We start from the raw sequence: 27,928 nt of genomic DNA on the forward strand, positions 1-27,928 counted from the left end.
CCATTTCTACTAAAAGTACAAAAAATTAGCCAGGCATGGTGGTGCGAGCCTGTAATCCCAGCTACTCGAGAGGCTGAGGCAGGAGAATTTCTTGAATCCGGGAGGCAGAGGTTGCAATGAGCCAAGATCACACCATTGCACTCCAGCTTGGACAACGAGAGCGAAACTCCATCTCGAAAAAAAAAAAAAAAAAAGGCCGGGTGCGGTGGCTCACGCCTGTAATCCCAGCACTTTGGGAGGCCGAGGCAGGTTGATCATGAGGTCAGGAGTTCAAGACCAGCCTGACCAAGATGGTGAAACCCCGTCTCTACTAAAAATACAAAAAATTAGCCCGGTGCAGTGGCAGGCACCTGTAATCCCAGCTACTTGGGAGGCTGAGGCAGGAGAATCGCTTGAACGCGGAGGGTGGAGGCTGCAGTGAGCTGAGATTGCACCACTGCACTCTAGCCTGGGCCACAGAGTGAGACTCTGTCTCAAAAAAAAAAAAACAAAACAAACAAAAAAACAACTCCAGATGATTGTGAATAAATTCTTTTTAGTAAAATGTAAGTAGAGTAATTTCTAGGACATTATTAGAAAAAAAGCAAGAAGCTCTGTGTGCCTACTCTGAATGGATCCTGCAACTACAGCTTGGGGGAGGGGTCTAGAGTATTTTTTTTCTTTTTCAGACAGGGTCTCGCTCTGTCACCCAGGCTGGAGTGCGGTGGTGCAATCTCGGTTTACCTCTGTCTCCAGGGTTCAAGCGATTCTTCTACCTCAGCCTTCTTGGTAGCTGGGACTACAGACACGCGCCACCACGCCTGGCTAATTTTTTTGTATTTTTAGTAGAGACGGGGTTTCACCATCTTGGCCAGCCTGGTCTCGAACTCCTGGCCTCAAGTGATCCACCTGCCTCAGCCTCCCAAAGTGCTGGGATTACAGGCGTGAGCCACTGCGCCCAGCCTTAGAATATTTTTTTATTTTTATTTTTTTATTTTTCTTTTTTTTTTTTGAGACGGAGTCTCGCTCTGTCGCCCAGGCTGGGGTGCAGTGGCGTGATCTCCGCTCACTGCAAGCTCCGCCTCCCGGGTTCACGCCATTCTCCTGCCTCAGCCTCTCGAGTAGCTGGGACTACAGGCGCCCGCCACCACGTCCGGCTAATTTTTTGTACTCTTAGTAGAGATGGGGTTTCACCGTGTTAGCTAGGAAGGTCTCTTATCTCTTGACCTCGTGATCCACCCGCCTCCGCCTCCCAAAGTGCTGGGATTACAGGCGTGAGCCACCGCGCCCGGCCCAGCCTTAGGATATTTTTAATTGTAGGTTTTAATAAGTATTGCATGTCGAATGCAACTTTTATTTTGGAGAACGTATGCAAATGTATTCCTGTTTCTTGTTGCTGTTGCATAAATCTTAAAAGACTTTAAAGACTGCATTTTCGTATTGATTCCTAAAACAAAACTTAACAAGCAAGGGGGAAAAAACTCTATGAGGGTAGACAAGAGACCTATTTGATATAATAGATAATAGTGTATGGAGGAATAAAGCAGGAGGAGGAGTAAAGCTTAAACAGCAGTATGGGTAAAATTAAACAGGATACACGTTACATTTATGAATAAAAATTTGTTAGTTGTAATACAATGATAATAGTTGATAGTACTCATGAAGTAATTATTTTTGTCATTTAAAAGAGTCTAGAAAGCATATAATTAGGCTACATACAGATGTCTGAGAATTCAGATGCACCTTTTTCTCTTCAAATAGATGTCATTCTTTTATGCTATACTGATAAACCCACACCACAACCATTTCTGGTGACATCTTGGGCAACACAGTATAATGGTTAAGAGCTGGGCTGTGGGCTCAGATGGTTTGGGATCCACCAAGATTGCTACCCCTTATTAGCTGCATATACTTAGACAATTTACTTACCTTACTATTCTTTGATTTTCTCATTTGTACTTATCCCTTTTTGTATTTGTAAGTATTTAATGTGGTGCTTAGCACATAGTAAGAATAAATATAATTATTTTTTTTTATTTTTTTGGGACAGAGTCTCGCTCTGTTGCCCAAGCTGGAGTGCAGTGGCTCGATCTTGGCTCACTGCAACCTCCGCCTCCCGAGTTCAAGTGATTCTCCTGCCTCAGCCTCCCGAGTAGCTGGGACATAGGCAGGTGCCACCACGCCCAGCTAATTTTTTTATTTTTAGTGGAGATGGGGTTTCACCGTGTTAGCCAGGATGGTCTCGATCTCCTGACCTCATGATCCGCCTACCTCAGCCTCCCAAAGTGCTGGGATTACAGGCGTGAGCCACCGTGCCTGGCCAAATATAATTATTTCAAATTCAGTGTTTAGCAACTTATTTTCAGACCATGATTGTTGTATCAAATATATTGTTTTTCTTTCAATGCTCTGACTTTTAAGATTTTCTGCATTCTTCAATGCGACTTTTTTCTGTTTAATTTTTCATACTTTATTCCTTGTATCAATAGATTAAGAAAGTTAAAGTTTCCCAAGTGTTGATTTATAATGTTTGTGTCATACAAAAAGTTCAGTTTCACAAAGAGTAACATTCAGTGATCTATTTAAATGTAATTTTAATCCTTATTTTAAGGTAAGGGCTTTACAATAAGCTAAATACACACAAACCTGTATATCCTGAACTGCAAAAGCAGATTCCATAGCCATATATGTTTTAATCAAGTACACATTTCCACAGTGAACAAGTACTTAGAAATATGTTAATAGAATACTATCCCAAATGCTTATCCTGTCATCAACTTTTAAAACTGTTCTTGCTACTGAAAGCATTTATTCTGAGAAGATTTAATCTGATATGGGAAAATGAATTCTCCTAAAACTTAACAGATAGTATTTTATAAGCCTCAGAAGGTTTTAAATCAAAAATGCCTTCCAACAAGCATTCACGTGAAACTTTTAGTTTCTTGAAAAATAATCACTCTTGTTATAAGAAGAAAAGAATATTAAGACAAATTTTCTTTTAAGACAGATACAAATTCTTACAAAGAACCGTATTTTTCTATATCATCTCCTTAGAAGGATCACAAACCAGTTCACTACCTTTAATAACCTTTCAGTTTACTGTTGTCCAAAAACTTTAGGATACATGAAGCATGTCTTAGTTATCATAAAGTCAAATATATCTTTTAGATCTTGCATAATAAATAGCTACAGTATAGCTTACAATGGCACAAATATAGCTAACATATAAATACTACTTCATCCTTTAGATAGTCAAAAGTCAGAAGGAAATAAATGGTTTACAAGGTACTTTAACTTATTATGTGTGATCATTGAAACCCAAGAAGTATTTCAAGTATGCTTATTATGTAAAGACAGGCGATTAAAGGCTCAAAGATCACCGTAAAATTGAAGGCATGAAAATAAAAACTGAAAACTTTGTGTTTCTCCATCTTTCAGTTACATGGCTTGATATCTATCAGGACCTTACTATAGAAAATATACAGTTAATATATGTACTTCCCCCAGACGATAATGAAGTTTCAGAAAGTACAAAAGGTGTCAAGATCCATAGTTTACTTCGTCAAATGGTTTTCCAGTTCATTTCAGTTCTGCATTCATAGTAATCAAGTCTTTAACCCTAGCAAACTTCCTTAGGTCCCTTCAAATCAAGAAAACAATATTGTAAACTTGTACTCAACCTCATCTTCCAATTCACATTGCCTTGTGAGTCATTTCAATGATGAACTCTATGACAGGGTCTTCAAGAATATCCCCTGCTCAGTACAAGGATTCTGGCATCCCCTAAACCACATGGCATACATCACAGGTGAGATCTCACTAGCTTGCCAACCTGCAGTGCCCTGCTGGCTCACTCCTAACAGGTTTTTCTCAATGTGATTTTATTAAATCTTGTTATCAACATAATTTTCAGAGGAACCCCTAATTAATTTTATCATTGAGGAATAGGAAAATAACAGCTATACAAAAACGGATTCTTGAGGATCCATTTCTCAAGAATGCAATTATATTTAAATCTAAGAATACCTGTATACATTTAAGAAAAATTATACCTATTGTATTTCAAAAGATTCATCCATCTCACAAATATCTTGGGAGCCCCATACATATGCTGGTACTGTTCTAGGTGTTGAGGATCTTGCGGAGAACAGACTTCCTGCTGTCATTGAGCCTACTTTCAGAGGATGTGGGGAGCAGGTATGGTCTGAAACACATATGATTTTTATAGTAGAATTATAAAAATATTAATGCAAATTATGTTGTTTTCACAGTCAGATATAATTACTGGTGCTCAAGAAGTGGAAATGATGACAAAACAGTTAGGAGCCCATCTGGAACAACTAAAAATGACCATAAAATCAAAGATAGCGGTCCCAACATCACAAGTCTTTGTAAGTATTTGTCATAAACTTTGACCTTAAGGTGAATTTCCTTTTGAGCCCTATAATATTGGATCGCAAGTCATTATAATTATATTTAATTTCTAAAAATATAATGTTTTGTATAAATTGATCCTGTTCTTTATGGTTACTTTGCCGTAATAGTGTGCTATAAGTTGGATGAGAGAATTCCCCCACATAAGCAACTGCTACTAAAGGAACTGCAACTGTATAGTATGATAACCATATCAGTATTGGCTGTGACAACAGAAATAATCATTGTACTGTGGTTGAAAATGTATTCATAGTAGCTGGTCAGAAATTGCCTCCAGTACAGAGATGATGTAACTTGTGACCTTTCTGAAAAGACAGATAATAATCACTTTGTTTACCAGGCCTGCACTTACATTGAGTTTCTGATTATCTGCACCATTTTATGGACAAACCTGGCAAACCTTATCTGGATAAGGAGGTATAAAATGTATGTGCAGTATTATTTTTATTTATTTATTTATTTACTTCAAGACGGAGTCTCGCTTTGTCGCCCAGGCTGGAGTGCAGTGGTGCAATCTCGGCTCACTGCAAGCTCCGCCTCCTGGGTTCACGCCATTCTCCTAGCTCAGCCTCCCGAGTAGCTGGGACTACAGGCGCCCGCCACCATGCCCAGCTAATTTTTTTTGCATTTTTAGTAGGGACAGGATTTCACTGTGTTAGCCAGGATGGTCTTGATCTCCTGACCTCGTGATCTGCCCGCCTCGGCCTCCCAAAGTTCTGGGATTACAGGCATGAGCCACTGCGCCCAGCCTATATGTAGTATTATTATAGAGGATATGAGGCTGTAATAACTTTCTGCAGTCATCCCCAGTATTTGGTTTAAAAACCAAGAAACAAAAGGCTAAATTGTTTAACTTAGATGTGGGGCCTTATTGATTTTTTCATTTGTTCTATAAGTCAGTGACCTTTAATAGGAATAAGAAACATATCTCACTGGCCTCAAATATTTAACTTGCAGCTCACAAAACATGGCCCAAGATATATCTCTATACTTTCCAGGTTCTTTTGCAATGATTTGGCCAGAAAAAATCTAATTATAGTGAGTCATATTTAGCTTTTTAATTTATTTTTTACTTTCTTAATATTGTTATATTTTATTAGATGATCAGTCAGGAAAACAAACAAAAAATGGTCTTCAGTGACACTTTTGTGTTCATTCTCCTCTAAACACATCTTCAGCATCTGATTTTTGGTACTTATGAAGGTGTTTTTTTCTGTATAAATAGGTGTTAACTTGGTGTCCTTGCAGGGTGCGTGGGGGGAACTTTCTATTTTGCCACCTTGCTCCACCCTCCTTTTTTTTTTTTTTTTTTTTTTGAGAAGTAGTTTTGCTCTTTTTGCCCAGGCTGGAGTGCAATGGCCTGATCTCAACTCACTGCAACCTCCGCCTCCCGGGTTCAAGCGATTCTCCTGCCTCAGCCTCCCGGGTAGCTGGGATTGTAGGTGCCCACCACCACGCCTGGCTAATTTTTGTATTTTTAGTAGAGACGGGGTTTTGCCATGTTGGCCAGGCTGGTCTTGAACTCCTGCCCTCAGGTGATCCGCCCACCTTGGCCTCCCAAAATGCTGGGATTACAGGTGTGAGCTACTGTGCCTGGCCGTATTTTTTTTTTTTTCTTAAGACATTTTTCCCTTGGTTTTTTGAGGTGAAGAGTCCATAAATCTTTCTTAGGTGATCACATGTGTTTGGCTTTTTAAAGTAAACTAACTTTATAATAATCGTACTAAAATAAAATGCTTTGAAATAAAATGCAAGTTTATTTTCTCATAATTTATGAGTTAAATGTCTATCTAAAGTCTACTGTCTAAGTTCGTAAGACTTTTGCTTAGGGAGAATTAACTTCTTTACAAATGACAATTGTATTTATCTTAAAGAGTACAGTGATTTATAATTTTATTACACAGTTGCATTTTGAATATTTTTTTTCTCTTCCTCAGCCTATCTTCATTGCACTTTCTACTCTGTGGACCAGCTTGCAAGACGAAACTATTGTGGTTGGTGTCCTCAGTAATTTATTCACTCACATTCAGCCATTCTTGGGTGCTCACGAACTATACTTTCCTGAGAGAGTGATGCAATGTCATCTTAATGGAGCGACTGTGAAAACTGATGTGTGTAGAATGAAAGAACACATGGGTAATGAAAATCATCCATTATTTCCTCTTCTTTTTAAAATTACCTCTAGAATAAAGTCACTCTTTTGTTCTAAAAATTTCATATCTTTCTGATAAAGCATTAAACATTTTTCTTGATTATAAAGTACTAATGAGGGCCGGGTGTGGTGGCTCACGCCTGTAATCCCAGCACTTTGGGGGGCCGAGGCGGGTGGATCACCTGAGGCCAGGAGTTCGACATGGCAAAACTCCGTCTCTACTAAAAATACAAAAATTAGCCGGGCATGGTGGTGGGCGCCTGTAATCCCAGCTACTGGGGAGGCTAAGGCAGGAGAATCACTTGAACCTAGCGGGTCAGAGGTTGCAGTGAGCCAAGATTGTGCCATTGCACTCTAGCCTGGGTGACAGAGTGAGACTCCATCTCAAAAAGAAAAAAAAAAAAAAAGCACTAATGTTTATGAGAGGAGATGTGGAAAACAGAAAAAATGTAAACTGAATAACTTACTGTCCAGCAATAACCATTCGTAGTGTTATCGTTCATGTTTTGGTTAACAATCATTTTTTGTGCAGATGTGTTTCTATTGCAGTCCTAGTAATTTTATTATTGATTTGTTGGAGAAAAGAATATTAATCATTGCTATTTTGTTGCAAATAAAGCTCCATTTCTTTAGAATGTTATTTGTTATATATCTACCTCAGATTCAAGTTGGGAATTTACAAACCAATAAATGTTATCCCTGTAAAATTAATTGAGCTTATTTAGGTCCTTTAGAAGATGCATTGATTCTTACAGAAAAACAATCTTTATCAATAAACTTTTAACCATTTTAGACCCTTCTATCTTAGCTAAAGATACTTTAACATTTATGAGGAATGCCAAAAAAGAGCTTGGGACTTGAGATGTTGATGTTGCATAAAAAGAGAGTTTTTTCAGAAACTGAAATTAATAATTTACTCTATGAATTTTCTTTTCAAATTCTATTTTTTAAAGATGAAAAATAAAAATATAGCAGTCATTTCCCAAACTATTAGAATTCATAAAAACTGAAAACTAAACCAGAAACTAAAAAATATCCTTTCAGTTCAAGTTTTTTATTGCTCATTTCATTTCATTAAAGCAGCATATGTAAGCAAATATTAAATGAAATTGAAAAGTTAAAGTATCTCCAACAGTGTATATTAAGCTAACCATATTGGCAAGACTGTTTACCTGCAACTTCTTAGATTTAGATGTGTCATTTTCTACCATACGTCAGAACTTTTTATTCACTAGAACACTATTAAATTACCACTCCATTGAATTGGTCAAGCCAGTGTTGTTCTAAAAGAATTTCATTTACACCTGCCACATATTGTCATTGTTAGAGGCTTTCAGGCATATCAGGAAAAAAGAGAGAGGATTTATTTTCTCTAAATTATGCATTTACTTTTAGTGGTAGCCACAAGATCGTTTGTGGTGCCTGCTTTTTGGGTTTAGAACCAGGCACAGAAGTGTACGTGAGATTGTGAAAGCTAAGAAACTTCAGGAACAATGTTTTATAAATACGTGGTATTATTTGTGTAAAAATTTATTCAGTTTGCTTATCAAATGTAAATAGGTAAGCTAACCAACATAGGAAGAATTTTTAAAAATATAAAGAACAAAAATTACACACCTTGTTATCAAAATCAGGTAACATTTTCTTGACTTTCTGCTCAGAACCTTCTCTGTTGTTTCAAGAAGCAATAGTCCTAGTTTATAAGCATCATATTAAACATATTTTGCCACCTAGCATATTATTAAGAACAACACTATATTGAATGAGGTCAATATATCTCTTTCTGGGTCACATAGCAGCCAGTCTATTCTGCTCAACTCCTTGGGTTATTTACTCTGCAGCAGCAGGAAGCACCACACACTTTCGGAAGTGCCCCAGTCAGCTTTTCTCTCAGCAGCAGAGCATGCTTGTCAGAAATGGCCTCTCCTTTCTGTTCTTCATTCTGGAGCAAAATCCTACCTCCAAGTTTGCCCCAGAAACTTACGTGACGTTATATGTCACTGAGGTCATTTGTACTTCTTTGCTTGAATAGACTTCCTCATAAATCTGGTTTTGTGAATATCAAGTTTTTGCCCATCGGGAAAAGTACAAAGCAATAAAAAGGTAATGTTTAGAATGAGCTACTGCTGATTTATTTTGGAAATTTAACCTTCTCACTGAATTAAAGCTTTTCTTCTTCTCCTTCATTTTAGAAGATAGAGTAAATGTGGCAGATTTCAGAAAACTAGAATGGCTTTTCCCAGAAACAACAGCAAATTTTGATAAACTGTTAATTCAATATCGGGGATTTTGTGCTTACACGTTTGCTGCAACAGATGGTCTTCTCCTTCCAGGTATATCATTGGAAATGAGACTGCTCTCCTTTCCCCGATTTTTTCTTTATATGGAGTTCTGTCATTGTCACTTGAATATTCACTTTAAAAACTTTATGGAATCTAATGGTGAACTAACAAAGGATCTACAAAGATGATCCAGACAAAGTCTTCATTTTGGAGGTGCTCTGGTAGACTGACATAAGCAAGAAATTATAAGTGATTAGTAATGGAAAGTGTATATGTGTTATGAAATATGGATGCTGCAGTACCATTGAAAGGGGATGACTCATATGGCCAATGAAGAATTCTAGAAATGTTACACGACATTGGCTGCATGCAGTGGCTCACGCCTATAATTCCAGCACTTTGGGAGGTCAGGGCGGGTGGATCACTTGAGGTCAGGAGTTGGAGATCAGCCTGGCCAACATGTCGAAACCCTGTCTTTACTAAAAATACAAAAATTAGCCAGGCATGGTGGCACACGCCTGTAGTCCCAGCTACTTGGGAGGCTGAGGCAGGAGAATCACTTGAACCCGGGAGGCAGAGATTGCAGCGAGCTGAGATAACTCCACTGCACTTCAGCTGGGCAACAAAGTGAGACTGTCTCAAAAATAAAACAAAAGAAATGTTACACAACATTACTAAAAATATATCTTCCAAAGTAATTACTGAAAGAGCAACACTTATTTGACATGTTTGTTAAAAAATATTCTTTGTTACTTTGCAGTTATATTTCACTGGCATAGATAGGATTTCTCTGTTAGACGCCTATAAGGAAATGGCTAATATCAAGTAAAATTTCTCTATGATGTATATATTATTAGAGCTTCTCCAAAATAAAGAATAAATCAGAGATAGAGATGAAAGAAATTATCATCCAAAAAGTGCTGTGTGAATTGTGAATAAGAAAAAGCCTGCCAGGGCTAGAATGAAAACAGTGTGACAAGATTGTGTCTTAATTTACTTTACGCCATTAACCTTATTTTTCTTCTTTCTTCATTATTTTTTTCTTTATTTCTTTTGTTATGTTTCACAATTGGGTATTTTTTCATTAAAAATAACTATTGGGATTGTGGGTATACAGGCTAGAGAGAACACACAATTGGCTCATTTAAAAAATGTTATTACATTTTTGATAATGGGAATAACAAAATATTTACTGTGGGAAGTTGAAAGTAATATTCTGAGGCCCAGTGAGGGTCACTGATACTGGGGAGAAAACAATCAAGAGCCATGCAGAAGTAAAATGCAATGGAATGTAGATAGTTTCCTTTTCTTTCTCCTCCCTCCCTCTCTCCCTCCCCTCCTGCCTCCCCCTCTCCATTCCTTCCTTCCTTCCCTGTTTCACACAAATAAGAAGGGAAAGGAGAAACACGGATGTGGGGTGATGGCAGAGGAAGCAATGATATGGTTGGAAAAGCTATGGGCTAGGGTTCAGAAGAGCCTGGTCTGTGTCCTTAGTGAACTAGGTAACCTTTATGAAATCTCACACCTTCTGTGGACCTCAGTTTCTCCTCAAGAAAATGAAAAGGATCAACCAGGAGGTCTGTATGGTCCCTTCCAGGGTCTCCCAACTCTGGGTCTAAGAAGAAAGAGGGTGAAGTAGAAAAGTAGAAGAGCTTTTGGGGCCATGAGTTTCATATTCCTCTCTGGATAAGTGAATTCTGACGATTTCTGCTTACTACATTATTTCTACTTCATTATTTTCTGGGCAGCAGCAACCTGCATTACCTCAGATGAATTCTGTAGAACTTCCCTTCTTCCATTCAGGAGTGGAGACCACATGCCTTAAATCCCAGGGTAACACTGGCACTTACCAGTCAGAATCCTTTTCCGATGACTTCATTGACTTCATTGCCTACCACGCTTTGCCTCGTTTGCTCCACTTCAGTGGCACTGGCTTTCTTGCTGTTGTTGAACAGTTGAAGCCCACTTTCACCTCAGAGCCTTTGCACTCTTGGAAAAACTCTGCCTCCCAGGTTGCTAATCGCCTTGCTGCCTCATTTTATTCAGCCTTCCCTAATCACTCAATTTAAAATATCAATTGCACACTTCTTCCTTTTACTATGTATTTAACCTGCTTTATTATTTTTTTCATGTAGCACATGTCACTCTGTGACCTATGATATATTTGTGATTTTTTGAGAGCAGGGAATTTGTTATCTTCTATAGCCTTAGCACCATGAACATGGTCAATAACTATTTGTTGGATAAATGAAAGAATAAATGAGTAAGACAGTGTTGCTCTTTCTAATACAACTTCCACAAACTATGTGGATATTTAATTATCTATAGTCTATGTAGTATCTTTTTACAGTGAAAAATATTTGCTAATATGCAAATTTGAGTTTTGGAAAAGATGTCCCATTTTTGTAGTTCTTACTGGGTTATTTTAAACATAGTCCTTGCAGTAGTTAGTTGAAGTAGCTTTGAAAAATCTACCAGATGAGTAAGTGGCTTTTCATAAAAGATTTTTACAATTATTATATCTGGATAGTGGAAAGTATTTTTACATAAAATACAGTTTAAAATCATACTTTAACATAAAAATATAATTAGTATGTATTTCACATATCATTTAAAAATGTATAAATTAAAATGATAATTATAACATTTTAGCAAAATAAAAGCATAACTGATATGTTAAAAATGGAGTGGAAGGGGCTGGGCGTGGTGGCTCATGCTTGTAATCCCAGCACTTTGGGAGGCCAAGGTGGGTGGATCACCTGAGGTCAGGAGTTCAAGACCAGCCTGACCAATTTGATGAAACCCCGTCTCTATTAAAAATACAAAAATTAGCTGGGTGTGGTGGTGCACACCTGTAATCCCAGCTACTCAGGAGGCTGAGACAGGAGAACTGCTTGAATCCAGGAGGCAGAGGTTGTAGTGAGCTGAGATCACACCACTGGACTCCAGCCTGGGTGACAGAGCAAGACTTCGTCTCAAAAAAAAAAGGAGTGGAAGGGCCAGGAACAGTGGCTCATGCCTGTAATCCCAGCACTTCGGGAGGCCGAAGTGAGCAGATCGCTTGAGTCCACGAGTTCGAGACCAGCCTGGGTGATGTGGTGAAACCCCATCTCTACAAAAAAGGTTAGCTAGGTTGGGAGACACATGCCTGTAGTCCCAGCTACCTGGGAGGGTAAGGCAGGAGGATCTCTTGAGCCCGGGATGTTGATGCTGCAGTGAGCTGAGACTGCGCCACTGCACTCCAGCCAGGTTGATAAGACGCAGTCTTATCAACTTATCTTTTGAGACACAGTCTCAAAAAAAAAAAAAAATGGAGTGGATGAGGAATGGCTCTATGGTATGTTACAAACACAGAGTAACAATATTTCTTTTTCTTTTTCTTTTTTTTTTTTTTTGAGACAGTCTTGCTCTGTCACTTAGGCTAGAGTGCAATGGCACGATCTCAGCTCACTGCAACCTCCGCCTCCCAGGTTCAAGCTATTCTCCTACCTCAGCCCCCTGAGTAGCTGGGATTAGAGGTGCACACCACCACGCCCATCTAATTTTAGTATTTTTAGTAGAGACGGGGTTTCACCTTGTTGGTCAGGCTGGTCTTGAACTCCTGACCTCAGGTGGTCTGCCTGCTTTGGCCTCCCAAAGTGCTGGAATTACAGGCGTGAGCCACCATGCCCAGCCAGAATAACAATATTTCATAAGTGATCAAGACATTTCATATCTAATTCTTTTTTTATTTTCAGGAAATCCAGCAATTGGAATTTTAAAATATAAAGAAAAATATTACACATTCAATAGTAAAGATGCTGCATATTCATTTGCAGAAAATCCTGAACATTATATTGACATAGTTAGAGAAAAGGCCAAAAAAAATACAGAGTTAATTCAACTATTGGAACTTCATCAACAGTTTGAAACATTTATTCCATATTCTCAGGTAAGCAGGGTCAATATTTTATGAATTTATGACATTTAAAAATATAGTTAATTTAAAAGTTGTATTTTGTTGTAGAATGCTTCCCAGGTCCACACAGAGAGAGTCAGATGAGGGTCTTTACAGGTTGTCTGAAAGGGATTCATATCTGAAGATGAAAACTAATTGAATCAAAGAATAATGAAAACAGGATATGGAGTCAAATTGATGAATTAGGAAATGGGGAAAATCTGAATCAGAACAACTTCATTGACTTATAAATAATTGAAGCTGCAGTATATTTCTGTATCTGAAATTGGAGGAGCTCAACACAGATAACACAGATAGTAACTTATACTCAGAGCTGCAAAACAATTTAACAGGTTTAAATTGTAGTAGTCTGAAAGGCCACAGAATGGATCTCAAGGTGGGTTTCTTGTATGTCTGTGCCTATTGATTAATTCATTCATCTTATTTAGTAAGCCACTTATTGTGTGTCAGTAATTATTCTTGGCATAAGGGATTTCATGAAACAAAACAGATAAAAATCTCTACCGGTTTGGAACTCACATTTGAATGCCGTATATTCTAATGTTCTTCCTCTTTGTCTCTCATTTTCGTTGTTCATCTCTTTTTTTGTTCTTTTTAGAGGCAAGGTCTCACTCTGTCACCCAGGATGGAGAGCACTGGCACAATCATAGCTTACTGTACCTTCCAACTCCTGGGTTCAAGGGATCGTCTTGCCTCAGTCTCCCAAGTAGCTGGGACTACAGGCAGGTGCCACCATGCCTGGCTAATTTTTTTAAAAAACTTTTTTGTAGAGATGGGGTCTCGCCATGTTGCCCGGGCTGGTCTCAAACTTGTGGCTTCAAGTTATCCTCCCGCCTTGGCATCCCAAAGTGTTGGGATTATAGGCACGAGCCACCATGCCAAGCCTGTTGTTCATCTCTTAAGTGGTCTTTCTTTCTCTCCTGTCTCTTGTTGAATTCCTCTCTTTTAAACTCACTAAAATGAAAACATTTTGAAATACATGGTTTAAAATGTCTGTTGTTTCCTTTTTTTTTTTTTTTTTTTTTAACCAAGTCTTGCTCTGTTGCCCAGGCTGGAGTGCAGTGGTGTGATCTCAGCTCACTGCAACTTCCGCCTCCCAGGTTCAAGCAATTCTCCTGTCTCAACTTTCTGAGTAGCTGGAACTATAGGCGGACACCATCACGCCTGGCTAATTTTTGTATTTTTAGTAGAGATACGGTTTCACCATGTTGGCAAGGCTGGTCTCAAACTCCTGACCTCAGGTGATCCACCCACCTTGGCCTCCCAAAGTGCTGGGATTACAGGCGTGAGCCACCACGCCCGGACTTGTTTGCTATTTTTATCAACATTTTAACTCTAAAGCAGGTGGGCTTTGTGCCATTGACCTGGCCAGCAGAGATCCAAGCAGTAAGTAGTGAGAGGACTGTTGGGCTGGTGACAGAGGAGCACAGAGGATGGTCTGAACACACAGGCAAGAAGACCAGAAACAAGCTAGGGACTAAGTCATCTGAGGAGGGTGGGGGGAAGTATGGTAGTCAGGACCATGGACAGCTCAGTTGGTGCTGCTATTCTGACATCGTGATGTGCTGTGTTCTGACATTGTGTTATTCTGACATCGTGATGACATCGTTGATGTAGCACTCCAGCTCCCCTTTCCAATGAAGCTATTCTGCAGAGTCCTAGGTTCCTACTGTTGTGATGAGAGATTGGTCTCGTCTACAGTGCCTTTCTGTATGTGAGCCAAATAGTAGGTAGGCCTACAATTTTTGTTTCCACTAAAAAGTTACTCTGAAAATGTACTAATTTAACTTCATTATAAGGCTTGTCAGTTACCCATAATCCTGCGAGGACGTGTTAATACCTCAGTTTGTAATATTTGCCAATTTGATGAATTTAAAATGGTACTTATTATTGTTTGTTTTTTTTTCTGAGACGGAGTCTTGCTCTGTTGCCCAGGCTGGAGTGCAGTGGCGTGATATCAGCTCACTGCAACCTCCACCTCCCAGGTTCAAGCAATTCTCTGCCTCAGCCTTCTGAGTAGCTGGGATTACAGGCGTCTGCCAACATGCCTGGCTAATTTTTGTATTTTTAGTAGAGACGGGGTTTCACCATCTTGGTCCAGCTGGTCTTGAACTCCTGACCTTGTGATCCACCTGCCTTGGCCTCCCAAAGTGCTGGGATTACAGGTGTGAGCCACTGCACCAGGCCCTTATTACTGCTTTATTGTGCATTTTTCTGATAGTGATGTTTAGCATTTCTTCTTATTTATCTGTTCAGGTTTCCCCTTCTGTACATTGCGTATTTATAACTTTTGCCGTTTTTTTTTCCATTTGCTGTTTCTGTTTTTAAGTTGTTGATTGGCAGTTCCTTGTCTATTCTAAATATTAATCCTTTATAAGTTATAAAAGTTGCAAATGTCTTTTCCCAGCCTGACACCTCTGTTAACTTTGTAAGTTGAATCCTTCATTGAAGACACATCTTTAATTTTAATGTAGTCATATCTATTAATTTTTTCCTTTACAGATTGTGCTTTTTTTAAAATCTTATTTTAGAAATTCTCCTCTGTCCTAGGATTATTCTTTACATTTTATTTTTATTTTATTTTTATTTTTTTGAGACAGAGGCTCACTCTGTAGCCCAGGCTGGAGTGCAATGACATGAACATGGCTCACTACAGTGTTGACCTCCTGGGTTGAAGCAATCCTCTTGCCTTGAGCTTTTGTGTAGCTGAGACCACACAGGCATGCACCAACCATGCCTGGCTAATTTTTTTTTTTTTTTTTTTTTTTTTTAGTTTTAGTTTTTCTAGAGACGGTGCCTCACTTTGTTGCTCAGGCTGGTCTTGAACTCCTAGGCTCAAGCAATCCTCTTGCCTCAACCTCCCAAAGTGCTGGGATTAAATGTGTGAGCCACCACATCCAGCCCATTTTCTTCTTTTTAAATTGTCAATCTATATAACAGATACTCTCTAAAAGGAAATGATATTTGTTCAGGACCAGGCACTGCAATGGGAATACACTTGCCATAGTAAACCATGTGTGTATTAAGAGAGGTAAAGAAAGACAAAGTCTGTTAAGGGAAAAATTAGGAGGATTACATAATTGTTTAAGATAATTATCCTGACCAGGCGTGGTGGCTCACGCCTGTAATCCCAGCACTTTGGGAGGCTGAGGCGAGTAGATCACAAGGTCAGGAGTTCGAGACCATCCTGGCCAACATGGTGAAAATCTGTCTCTACTAAAAATACAAAAATTAGCTGGGTGTCTTGGCACATGCCTGTATTCCCAGCTACTCGGGAGGCTGAGGCAGGAGAATCGCTTGAACCAGGGAGTCAGAGGTTGCAGTGAGCTGAGATTGCATCACTCCACTCCAGCCTGGCAACAGAGCGAGACTCTTGTCTCAAAAAAAAAAAAAAAAAAAGATCATTATTCTTGGCTTAGTTGGACAGGCAGTTGCTGGGCAGATGTCATCACAGAAATATTTTTTCTGTGTAAAGTTGTGGTGGCCTTTGTGCAGGATTGTGTTTTTTGGAGAGTCTTTTGTGATAATTTTTATTGGGGATTTGCCACAAGAGCCCTTCCTTCATGGCCGATTTGCCACAAGAGCCCTTCCTTCATGGCCGTCCCTGGCTCTATTTGTCAGAGTTTTTAACACAAGTGACAACATTTTTATTCTGACAACTTTCACACAATTTATTTTTTACATTGAGATCTTTAGTCTATTTGGAGATAATAAAGGATTCTAATTTTATTTTTCTTCATGTAGTAAGCCAGTTTTCCTAACACGATTTACTAAATAATGTAAATGTATTTCCCACAAAATACAGTGCACCTCTATTGTATTAACAACTTTCATATGAAATAGGTTTGTTTCTAGGCCTTCTATTCTGTTGCATTGGTCTATTTATCATCTCTATCCTAATACCACACTGCTTTAATTACTATTGCTTTGAAATGTATTTTATTATCTGATAAGGAAGCTCTCTTCTTTGCCTTTTAGTTTTCAAAATTTTCCATGTAAGTTTCTTAATGAATTTGCTAAGTTTCCCCAAAAAATCTTACTGGAATTTTAACTGGAATTGCATTAAACTAATGAAATAATATGTGGGGGAATTTACATATTTATTATATTGGATTGTCCCATCAATAAAAATACCATTTGCATAGTGTTTTTTCCTATGGTAGTTTCATTAATTATGCCTTCATAAAACTTGATGGATTTAGTTATATTTTATTCTCTACCTATTTCTAAAATAGTAGTTGAGTTTTTGCCATTCATGTATGTATTCCTAAATAATATATTTCTGTGAAATGACCTCATTTTGCCCAATTTTCTGTTAGTTGATTTCTCTTTATCTTAGTGATTTGCAGGAAGTGTTTTTTCAAAATTGTATTTTGCTTATGAATTCTTTGTTAAATATATGTTTTGAAGATATGTTTTCTTAGTTTGTAGCTTATGTTTTCATTCTTTTTGTGGTGTCTCTTGATGAACAAGTCTTTTATTTTAATGTGTAATTTGTCATTATTTTTTCTTCATGTCTTGTTTAAGAAGTTCTTACGTATTTTGAGATCACGAAAATATTCTTACCTTTTTTTAAAAGAAATATGTTTTGTCTATTATGTAGAGCCTTTAGTCCACTTGGATTTTATTTTTGTTTGTGGTGGGAGGTAAAGATCCAATTTTATTTTTTTCCCATTTGTAGTGAAATTGTCGTAGACCATTTGTTTAATAGTCTCTCCTTTCCTCACTGATCTACAGTGTCTTATCAATAACCACAGGCTTAGTTTTGCACTCTCTATTATGTTCAGTTATTCAATTTTAAAAAAAATCCTATACTGATATCTTCAATAGCTTTATAAGTCTTGATATCTGGTAGAGTAAGTTTTCACATTCTTTCTTCTCCGAAAAGTCTTGTCTGTACTAGAATCTTTACTTTTATAAATTTGAGAAGTACATAATGAAGTTCCATTAAAAACCCTTGAAGGAATACTGATTGAAATTGCCTTGTATATGTAGGTTAGTATGAGAAGAATAGACATTTTTACAACATTGAGTCTCCCTATCCAAAGCATCAATGTAGTTTTATAATATTTCCTATCAAAGAATTGCACATTTTTTGGTTAGATTTATTTGTAGGGACTTTATATTTTTTGTTGCTATTTTAAATGCTGTTGATGCTTAGGATTGAATTTTAGTTCATTATTGCTTATATTATGGAAATGCAGTTTAATTTCTGCATATTGATTTTATATTCAGCAACCTTAATAAACTCCCTTACTAATTCTAATAATTGATATTTGAGAGTCTATTGATATTTAGAGTCTGTTAGTTTTTTTTTCTTAATGTGGGCCATCACAATATATGCAAATGATAATTCCTTCCCCTAGACTTTGTATTTTTTTTAACGCGATATTGCTTTATTACAGGAGGTGAGTGTTGTTGTGGGGAGCGAGGGCATCATGGTGAAGAAATAAATCAGAGGACTGCAAATGCAGGGAGCGATAATGTTAAAATCGTAATATGCAAAATGAACAATTGCAATCATTTTCTTAAGACTCAACTCATAGATGGAAAATTTTAATTGCTAATGCAGAAAGCATCTGTATGAAGTAGAAACTGGTTTTGATAACATAAGTAGAGAATATCTAGAAAATGGAGGTAAATTAGATGTAAAATTCTGGCAGCAATGTAATGTCCCCAGTGGTAAGGCTGAGGCCAGCATCTAATGAGGATGAAAGTTCTGTAGGGAATTTTGGGTGGTACTTGGAGAAATATTACACTATGCGTAAACCAAGCTGAATTGCTTTCACAAGTGTTAAGAAGTATCATATAGTAAAAGGTTTGTTTGTTTTTTCTACAAGCACTCCATTTTCACAGCAAGAGTGGTACAGAATACTTAAACAAGGAAGAGAGTATTCATGGAAGATATAGTATGTAGCTCTTTGATATACTAATGCATAAAATTCAAAATGATTAAACTATAGTACATGTGGAGCTTTTTACAATGGCAAGGTGGTGGTTACAGAAAGCATGGCCCTAGGGTATCAGTCTCTAGAAAGCAACCACCACCCTTCTATGTGTGTTCTCATTTTTCATTTTTCTTAATCAGCTCTGCTGTTGGCTGCTTCTTAGCAAAACTGGTAAAAACAAAATTGTAATCATTGAACATAGTACTCTAGCAATCAGGACATTTAAAATCTTCCATATTCTAGGGGCAAAGAAGGTAGTGAGTGACATTTAAAACTATGATTTACAAGCAAAGTGGTAAAAACTTTTCCTGCATGAAAGACTTCCACAACTTTCCCAATCAGGTCATCACAGAAGGTCTGACTTAAGGTGGTTTTGAAGCCAACGTAAAAAATTCTGTTTCTGGAGTGATGTGAATAGTCTGGTAAATTCCATCCTATTTCATTCCATTGATTAAATACCCACAAGGATTTAACAGTGTGGCAGAACCTAGTATTAGGTCACTATTTCCACTCTCATGAGTGACATCCTTTGTAGTGATGCCATCATTCATGTAGGACTGACTCATAACTGCTTGGTCAAGCTCACTATCAGAATTTCCAGGGTTTAATCTGTTTGCTTGCCAGATTCTCTGGGAAATCCAAAGTATATACAAGTACCAACAGTCAGAATTCACACATTCCATACAATATGTCGTTCCACTTGGGAAAATTACATTAAGAAACTGTTTCTTCCTAGAAATTCTGGTGTGGGCACACTTGGTGAGAAGGCTTCATGAAATTTCAGGCGAATAAGAGAAGCTTTTCATTGAGCCAAATCCGATGTCATCCCTAGCAAACTTCAACAGGGGAACCAGTGCTTTCAGCAAAAGTTGGTCCCATATGTCTTCCAAATAAAATGTCTCTTGGAGATAAACGTGCTACTGTCACTGAGTACATAAGCTTCCTGATTGTCAGTTTTTGTCACACTTATGATGGAAAATTGCAGATCCTTCCAAAATATGTCACCCTCAGATCTTGGAGTGGTGAAAAGACTTCCAGATTTTTGGTTTGCATCGGGTTGCTGCCAGGAGGACCTCCAGCAGCTTCTAGGTCCCATTGAAAAACTGTGCAACTTCCATCATCGTGAGACTAGAGAACAATCAACAACCACAGCAAATCAACTAAATGAAATACCTTTTTCTTTTTCTGCTGCTGCTGCAAATTGTTCAGGATGTGTTACATTCTGGTTCCTTTTTTGCTATAATTTTATATTGATATTTTTTAAGGATTAAAAACTCTTCCTGGCTTTTTCTTTCTTTCTTTTTTTGGTAAGTAAAAGTTGAATTTGAGACAGGAAATAGAGGCAGATACAGTTCAGTCTCCTGTAGTCTGTTGTTTCACCATTAGAGAGTAGAGTGAGCACTAGCTAATGTTGCAGTACGTACTGTGGAGGACTGTAGATGTCATTATACTCTTTACTTTTATCTTACTACATTGACAAGCAACTCTAGTATAGTATCAAATAGAGGTAGCGAAATTGGGCAACTTTGTCTTCTTATCCCCCCAAATAATATTTCTGATATTTCATAATTGCAGTGTTCATTGTAGCTTTTTGTGGATTTTGTTTTATTAGGTTAAGGGTTTCCTCTCTAATCTCATTTGCTGAGAGTTTTTTATATGAATAGTTATTGAATTGTATCAAATACTATTTCTGTGTCTTTTGAGATGATCGTTTGGCCTTTATCCTTTAATCTGCTAATGTGGTGAATTATATTATTTCTAAGATTAAGCCAACTTTGCATTCCTGGGCTCAATCCAACTTGGTATAGTTTATTTTATTTATTTAAAAAATACATTCTTGAATTCAGCTTTTTAATTTTTCTTTAGAAGTTTTACATTTATATTCCTCAGTGCAATTAACCTATGCATTTCCTTTCTTTTGCTGTCCGTTGTTTAGATGTGAAAGTTATACATGTCTTATAAATGAGTATGAATGTTTTATATTTTCTTTTCTCTGAAAGAATTTATGTATAATTGGAATTATCTGGTAATGTATGCTGATAAAGCTCTCTGGGTTTCTTTGGTTGGAAACATTATAACTATGCTAAATTAAACTATAAGTTTAACTACTTTTGTGATTACAGGAATTTTTTCCAGGTAGTTTGTTTCTTTTGTATCAGATTCAATAAGTTGCATTTTTCTAGGAATTTATTCAAATCATCTAAGTTTTTAAACTTATGAAGATTTCACAATATCCTTTTACTATTTGTTTAAACTCTACATTATCTTATGCTGTCTTTTAAACTCCAGATATTGTTTATTTGAGTCTTCTCTCTTTTTATTTTGATTAATCTTGCCAGAGCACTAGTTTCTCAGTCTTTTTAAAGAATCAGCATTTGACTTTATTGACCCTATTTCATGACTGCTTTCATTTTATATTTTCTTTTCTGATCTTTATTATTTTCCTTTATCTAGTTCCTTCATTTTATTCTGTTTTCTAACTTTTAAAGATAGATGCTTAGCTCATTAGTTTTTAGCCTTTCTTTTTAACTTAATGCAATAAATTTCCTTTTTACTATACTATGAGAGTTGTATGTCACATAAGTTTTTTAAAAATGATTACAACCTTTATTTTAGATTCAGGGTGCAAAAGTGCAGGTTTGTTACATGGGTATATTGCATGAAGCCGAGGCTTGGGGTATGACTGATCTTGTCACCCAGGTAGTGAGCATAGTACCCAACAGTTTTTCAGCCCTTGCCCTCCTCTCTCTCTCCCCACTCTAGTAGCCCCCAGTATCTGTTGTTGCCATCTTGATGTCCATGAGTACCCAGTGTTTAGCTCCTACTTATGAGTGAGAACATGTGGTATTTGGTTTTCTGTTCCGGCATTAATTTGTTCAGGATAATGGCCTCCAGCTCCATCCATGTTTCTGCGGCATACTTTTAAACATAGCTATTTTCATCATAGTTCGGTTCTGAATGTTTTCTAATTCTCTTTAGCATTTCTTCTTTAGATTGTAGGTTATTTATGTCTGTTAGTTTACTCACAAAGAGTTTCCATTTTGCAATGCAAAGCTATTATTGATATCTAATTTTTAAAAAGAATCAAGAGACTTTTAAAATTTGTTTTGAATATTTTTAAGGTTTAAAAAGTGTTTAAAGTTTGTAATTCCTAGTAGGAAAACATTATCTGAATGGATACGCTAATGGCAAACCACTGTAAAATGCTTCAGCTGCATTTGGGGTAGAGGGGTGGGGATTATTCTCAAAGCACCCCAGTTCTCTTGATGAGAAGGTCAGAGGTACACTGGTTTGTATTGTTGCAACATGCATTAGGTGGTCCAGGTTGCGTTTCCTTCACCAAGGGCATTATTTATCAGAAGGGCATTACGCTTGACCTACAAATTTGGCTGACAATTTACTAATGAGATTTGTAACCTTTCCATTTTACTGGTATTTTGACATACTTGCTGGGTTGTAGGCCACATCCTAGAAGGCCACCATAACTTCTGGACCCTGTATGGCTGCAAGAACCTCTGGATCACTAAGAATGTCATTGAGTTCAGGCATTCCTGCCATTCCAGGCATTCCTTCATGAACATTAACAGGCCTTCCCACAGGAAAGCCAGCTGGAAAAGAGAGCCTACTGAGTTCCTGATCCCTCTGGGCTCTCTCATGCTCTTTTCTGAGCCTTTTTAACTATTTTTTCTTTGATCGCTCACTCTTCATGGTTTTGCTCATACTTTCTCTGATGTTCTGCAATTTTCTAGGCCCTAGGTTGAACTTCTTTCAGCATTGTGCTAGCATCTTTGTAATCCAATTTACAGACAAGGGGCAAGATCATGGGCTGCTTCTTCCCAGTGGCCCAGAAGTCTGTGTGTGAAAAGCGCTTGTAAGGCTCACCACTTGTAAGCCTGGGCTGAATCAGGATTTATTTCAATGGCTCTGTTACAATATCAGATGGCAGCATTTGGCTTCTGTAATTCGTTGAAGACACTGGCTCTCTTTGGCATGTAGAATGGTCAAGAGAGGATTCAGCTTGAAGGCATCTGTGAATAAGTCAATGGCTTTCTACGGTTCACCATCATTTAGGGCTTCAGTGGCAGCCACTTTCTTATCATTTGCGTAATCCATCATCTGTTATAGCTGCATTTTCATCTCCCCTTTCTTTTTTATTTTTAAAATTTATTTTATTATTACGTTTTAAATTTTAAGTTCCAGGATACATGTGCAGGACATGCAGGTTTATTACACAGGTAAATGTGTGCTGAGGTGGTTTGCTGCCCCTATCAACCCATCACCTAAGTATTAAGCCCAGCATGCATTAGCTATTTTTCCTGATGCTCTCCTTCTCCTTGCCCCTCCAGCAAGCCCCACTGTGTGTTGTTCCTCTCTGTGTCCATGTTTTCTCATTGTTCAGCTCCCACTTATAAGTGAGAACACGTGGTGTTTGGTTTGCTGTTCCTGCGTTAGTTTGTTGAGGATAATGCCTTCCAGCCCCATCCATGTCCCCGCAAAGGACATGATCTCATTCCTTTTTATAGCTGCTTATTATTCCATGGTGTATATGTACCACATTTTCTTTATCCAGTTAACCATTGATGGGCACTTAGATTGATTCCATGTCTTTGCTATTGTGAATAGTGCTGCAGTGAACATACACATGCATGTATCTTTATAACAGAATAATTTATATTCCTTTGGGTATATACCCAGTAATAGGATTGCTGAGTCAAATGGTATTTCTGGTTCTAAGTCTTTGAGGAATCACCATACTATCTTCCACAATGGTTGAACTAATTTACACTCCCACTAACTATAAAAGCATTGCTATTTCTTCACAGCCTCACCAGCATCTGTTGTTTCTTCACTTTTTAATAATCGCCATTCTGACAGGCATGAGATGATACCTCATTGTGGTTTTGACTTGCGTTTCTCTAATCAATGATATTGAGCTTTTTTTCATATGTTTGTTGGTTGCATGAATGTCTTCTTTTGATAAGTGTCTGTTCATGTCCTTTGCCCACTTTTTAATGGAGTTGTTTGTTTTTCTCTTGCAAATTTGTTTAAGTTCCTTATAGATTCTAGATATCAGACCTTTATCAGATGGATAGATTGTAAAAATTTTCTCCCATTCTGTAGGCTCTCTGTTCACTCTGATGATAGTTTATTTTGCTGCGCAGAAGCTCTTTAGTTTAATTAGATCCCATTCATCAGTTTTTGCTTTTGTTGCTGTTGCTTTTGACATTTTTGTCATGAAATATTTGCCCATGTGTATATCCTGAATGGTATTGCCTAGATTTTCCTTTAGGGTTTTTATAGTTTAATAGTTTTGGGTTTTACATTTAAGTCTTTAATCCATCTTAAGTTAATTTTTGTATAAGGTGTAAGGAAGGGGTCCAGTTTCAATTTTCTGCATATGGCTAGCCAGTTCTTCCAGCACCATTTATTAAATAGGGCATCCTTTCCCCATTGGTTGTCAAAGATCATATGGTTGTAGGTGTGCAGTTTTATTTCTGAGTTCTCTATTCTGTTCCATCGGTCTATGTGTCTGTTTTTGTACCAGTACCATGCTGTTTTGGTTACTGTAGGCTGCAGTATAGTTTGAAATTGGGTAGCATGATGCCTTCCGCTCTGTTCTTTTTGCTTAGGATTGTCTTGACTATATGGGCTCTTTTTTGGCTCCATATGAATTTTAAAGTAGTTTTTCTAATCTGTGAAGTATGTCAATGGTGGTTTAATGGGAATGCCATTGAAGGTATAAGTTACTATGGGCAGTATGGCCATTTTCACAATATTGATTCTTCCTATTCATGAGAATGGAATGTTTTTCCATTCGTTTGTGTCTTCTCTGATTTCCTTGAGCAGTGGTTTATAGTTCTCCTTGAAGAGGTCCTTCACTTCCCTTGTTAGCTGTATTTCCAGGTATTTTATTCTCTTTGTGGTAATTGTGAATGGAAGTTCATATCATGGTTTGGCTCTCTGCTTGCCTGTCGTTGGTGTATAGGAATGCTTGTGATTTTTGCACATTGATTTTGTATCCTGAGACTTTGCTGAAGTTGCTTATTACCTTGAGAAGCTTTTGGGCTAAGACAGTGGGGTTTTCTAGATAGAGGATCATGTCATCTGGAAACAGACAGTTTTACTTCTTCTCTATTTGAATATCCTTTATTTCTTTCTCTTGCCTGACTGCCCTGTCCAGAACTTCCAGTACCGTGTTGAATAGGAGTGGTGAGAGAGGGCATCCTTGTCTTGTGCTGGTTTTCAAGGGGAATGCTTCTAGCTTTTGCCCATTCAGTATATTGGCTGTGGGTTTGTCATAAATGGCTCTTATTATTTTGAGGTATCTTCCATCAATACCTAGTTGATTGAGAGTTTTTAACATGAAGAGATGTTGAATTCTACGGAATTCAATATTGAGATAATCATGTGGTTTTTGTCGTTTGTTCTGTTTATGTGATGAATTACGTTTATCGATTTGCATATACTGAACCAGCCTTGAATCCTGGGGATGAAGCCGACTTGATCATGGTGGATAAGCTTTTTGATGAGCTGCTGGATTCAGTTTGCATCAGGATTGCATTGAGGATTTTTGCATCAATGTTCATCAGGGATATTGGCCTGCAGTTGTTTTTTGTTGTTGTATCTCTGCCAGGTTTTGGTATCTGTATGATACTGGCCTCAAAAAATGAGTTAGGGAGCAGTCTTTCCTTTTCCATTGTTTGGAAGAATATCAGAAGAAATGGTACCGGTTTCTCCTTGTACCTCTGGTAGAATTCAGCTGGAAATCTGTCTGGTCCTGGGCTTTTTTTGGTTGGTAGGCTATTTATAACTGCCTCAATTTCAGAACTCGTTATTAGTCTATTCAGGATCCAACTTCTTCCTGGTTCAGTCTTGGGAGGGTGTATGTGTCTAGGAATTTATCCATTTCTTCTAGATTTTCTTTATTATTATTATTATTACTATACTTTAAGTTCTGGGATACATGTGCAGAACGTGCAGGTTTGTTAAATAGGAATACATGTGCCATGGTGGTTTGCTGCACCTATCAATCTGTTATCTACATTATGTGTTTCTCCTAAGGCTATCCCTCCCCTAGTCCACCAACCCCTGACAGGCACCAGCATGTGATGTTCCCCTCCCTGTGTCCATGTGTTTTCATTATTCAACTCCCACTTATGAGTGAGATCATGCGATGTTTGGTTTTGTGTGATCATAGCCCACTGCAGCCTCAAACTCCTGCTTCAAGCAATCCTCCTGCCTTGGCCTCCCAATTAGCTGGGACTACAGCCACACGCCACTGTGCCTGGCTTTAGAATCTCTTTTTAACTTGAGTTTTCATGTGCCCTTAATTTTTAAAGATTTTTATTGATACATAATAAATGTATATATTTGTGGGGTACATGTAATATTTTGATACATGTATACAATGTATTATGATCAAATCAGGGTAATTGGCATATCCATCACCTCAAATGTTTACTACTTCTTTGTGTTGGGAACATTCAGAATCCTCTCCTCTGGCTATTTTGAAATATAAAATAAATTTTTGTTAACTATAGTTGCCCTACTGTGCCCTAGAACACTAGAACTTATTCCTCCTATCTAACTGTAATTTTGTCCCCATTAGCTAACCTCTCCCCATCCACTTCCCTTCCCAGCCTCTGGTAACCACTATTCTACTCCCTACTTATATGGGCATGATCTATGGGATCAACTTTTTTAGCTCCTACATGAGTGAAACATGTGATATTTGTCTTTCTGTGCCTTGCTTATTTCATTTAACATAATGTCCTCCAGTTCAATCCATGTTGCTGTAAATGACAGGATTTCATTCTTTTTTATGGTTGAATGATATTCTATTGTGTAAATATACCATATTTTCTTTATTCTCCTGTTGGTGGACACTTAGGTTGTTTCCATATCTTGACTATTGTGAGTAGTACTGTGATAAACATAGGAGTGCAGATATCTCTTTGACATACTAATTTCCTTTCCTTTGGATATATGCCCAGCAGTGGGATTACTGGATCATATGGTATTTCTATTTTTAGTCTTTTTGAGGAGCCTTCATACTATTTTCCATAATGGCTTGCATTCCCATCAAACTTGCATTTCCATAAAAAGTGTATGAGTTCCCTTTCCTGGGCCAGGCGCGGTGGCTCACGCCTGTAATCCCAACACTTTGGGAGGCCGAGGTGGGCAGATTATGAGGTCAGGAGATTGAGACCATCCTGGCTAACATGGTGAAACCCCGTCTCTACTAAAAAATACAAAAAATTAGCCAGGTGTGGTGGCAGGTGCCTGTAGTCCCAGCTACTTGGGAGGCTGAGGCAGGAGAATGGCATGAACCCAGGAGGCGAAGCTTGCAGTGAGCCGAGATCGCACCACTGCACTCCAGCCTGGGTGACAGAGTGAGACTCCATCTCAAAAAAAAAAAAAAAAAAAAAAAAAGAGTTCCCTTTCTCTACGTCCTCACCAGCATTTGTTGTTTTCTGTCTTTTTTATAATAGGCATTTTAACTGGAATGAGATGATAGCTGATTGTGCATTTCCCTGATGATTAGTGACATTGAGCATTTTCTTACATACCTGTTGGCCATTTGTATATTTTATTCTAAGAAATGTCTCTTCAGATCATTTGCCCATTTTAAAATTGGATTATTTGTTGTTTTTGTTTTGTTTTTGCTGAGCTGAGTTCCTTGTAAGTTCTGGATATTCATCCCTTAATGGATAGTTTGCAAATATTTTCTCCCATTCTGTAGGTTGTCTCTTTTCTCTGTTGATTGTTTCTTTTGCTGTGCAGAAGCTTTTTAGTTTGATATAATCCCATTTGTCTATTTTTGCTTTTGTTGCCTGGGCTTTTGAGGTCTTATCCAAAAGATCTTTGCCCAGACCAATGCCCTGAAACATTCTTCCAGTAGTTTCTTCCAGTAGTTTCATAATTTTGGTTCTTATATTTAAGTCTTCATTTTGAGTCAATTTTTACATATGGTGAGAGATAGAGGTCTAGTTTCATTCTTCTGCATGTGGATATCCAGTTTTCCAAGTACCATTTATTGAGGAGACTGTCCTTTCTCCAGTGTGTCCTTTTGGCACCTTTGTTGAAAATCAGTTGGCTGTAAATGTGTGGATTTATTTCTGGGTTCTGTATTCTATTCTATTAGTCTCTGTGTTTTTATGCGAATACCATGCTC

The 27,928-nt window shown here is 37.8% G+C and overlaps 1 protein-coding gene and 3 pseudogenes across 1 annotated transcript in view; 1 reads left to right on the forward strand and 3 right to left on the reverse strand.

The window, feature by feature from the left end:
- CFAP206 (cilia and flagella associated protein 206) overlaps positions 1–27,928 on the forward strand; it is a 56,494-nt gene that overhangs the window by 14,304 nt on the left and 14,262 nt on the right. The window contains exons 8-11 of the mRNA NM_001031743.3: positions 4,251–4,370; positions 6,351–6,549; positions 8,758–8,898; positions 12,585–12,778. Coding sequence (NP_001026913.1) covers positions 4,251–4,370; positions 6,351–6,549; positions 8,758–8,898; positions 12,585–12,778 — 654 coding nt within the window. The remainder of the gene's footprint in view (positions 1–4,250; positions 4,371–6,350; positions 6,550–8,757; positions 8,899–12,584; positions 12,779–27,928) is intronic.
- Positions 3,165–3,781, reverse strand: TAF13P1 (TATA-box binding protein associated factor 13 pseudogene 1; annotated as a pseudogene).
- LOC100420741 (adenosylmethionine decarboxylase 1 pseudogene) lies at positions 18,699–20,041 on the reverse strand (annotated as a pseudogene).
- ST13P16 (ST13, Hsp70 interacting protein pseudogene 16) lies at positions 21,923–22,902 on the reverse strand (annotated as a pseudogene).

This window comes from Homo sapiens, chromosome 6 (assembly GCF_000001405.40).
Source record: "Homo sapiens chromosome 6, GRCh38.p14 Primary Assembly".
Taxonomy (NCBI): Eukaryota; Metazoa; Chordata; class Mammalia; order Primates; family Hominidae; genus Homo; species Homo sapiens.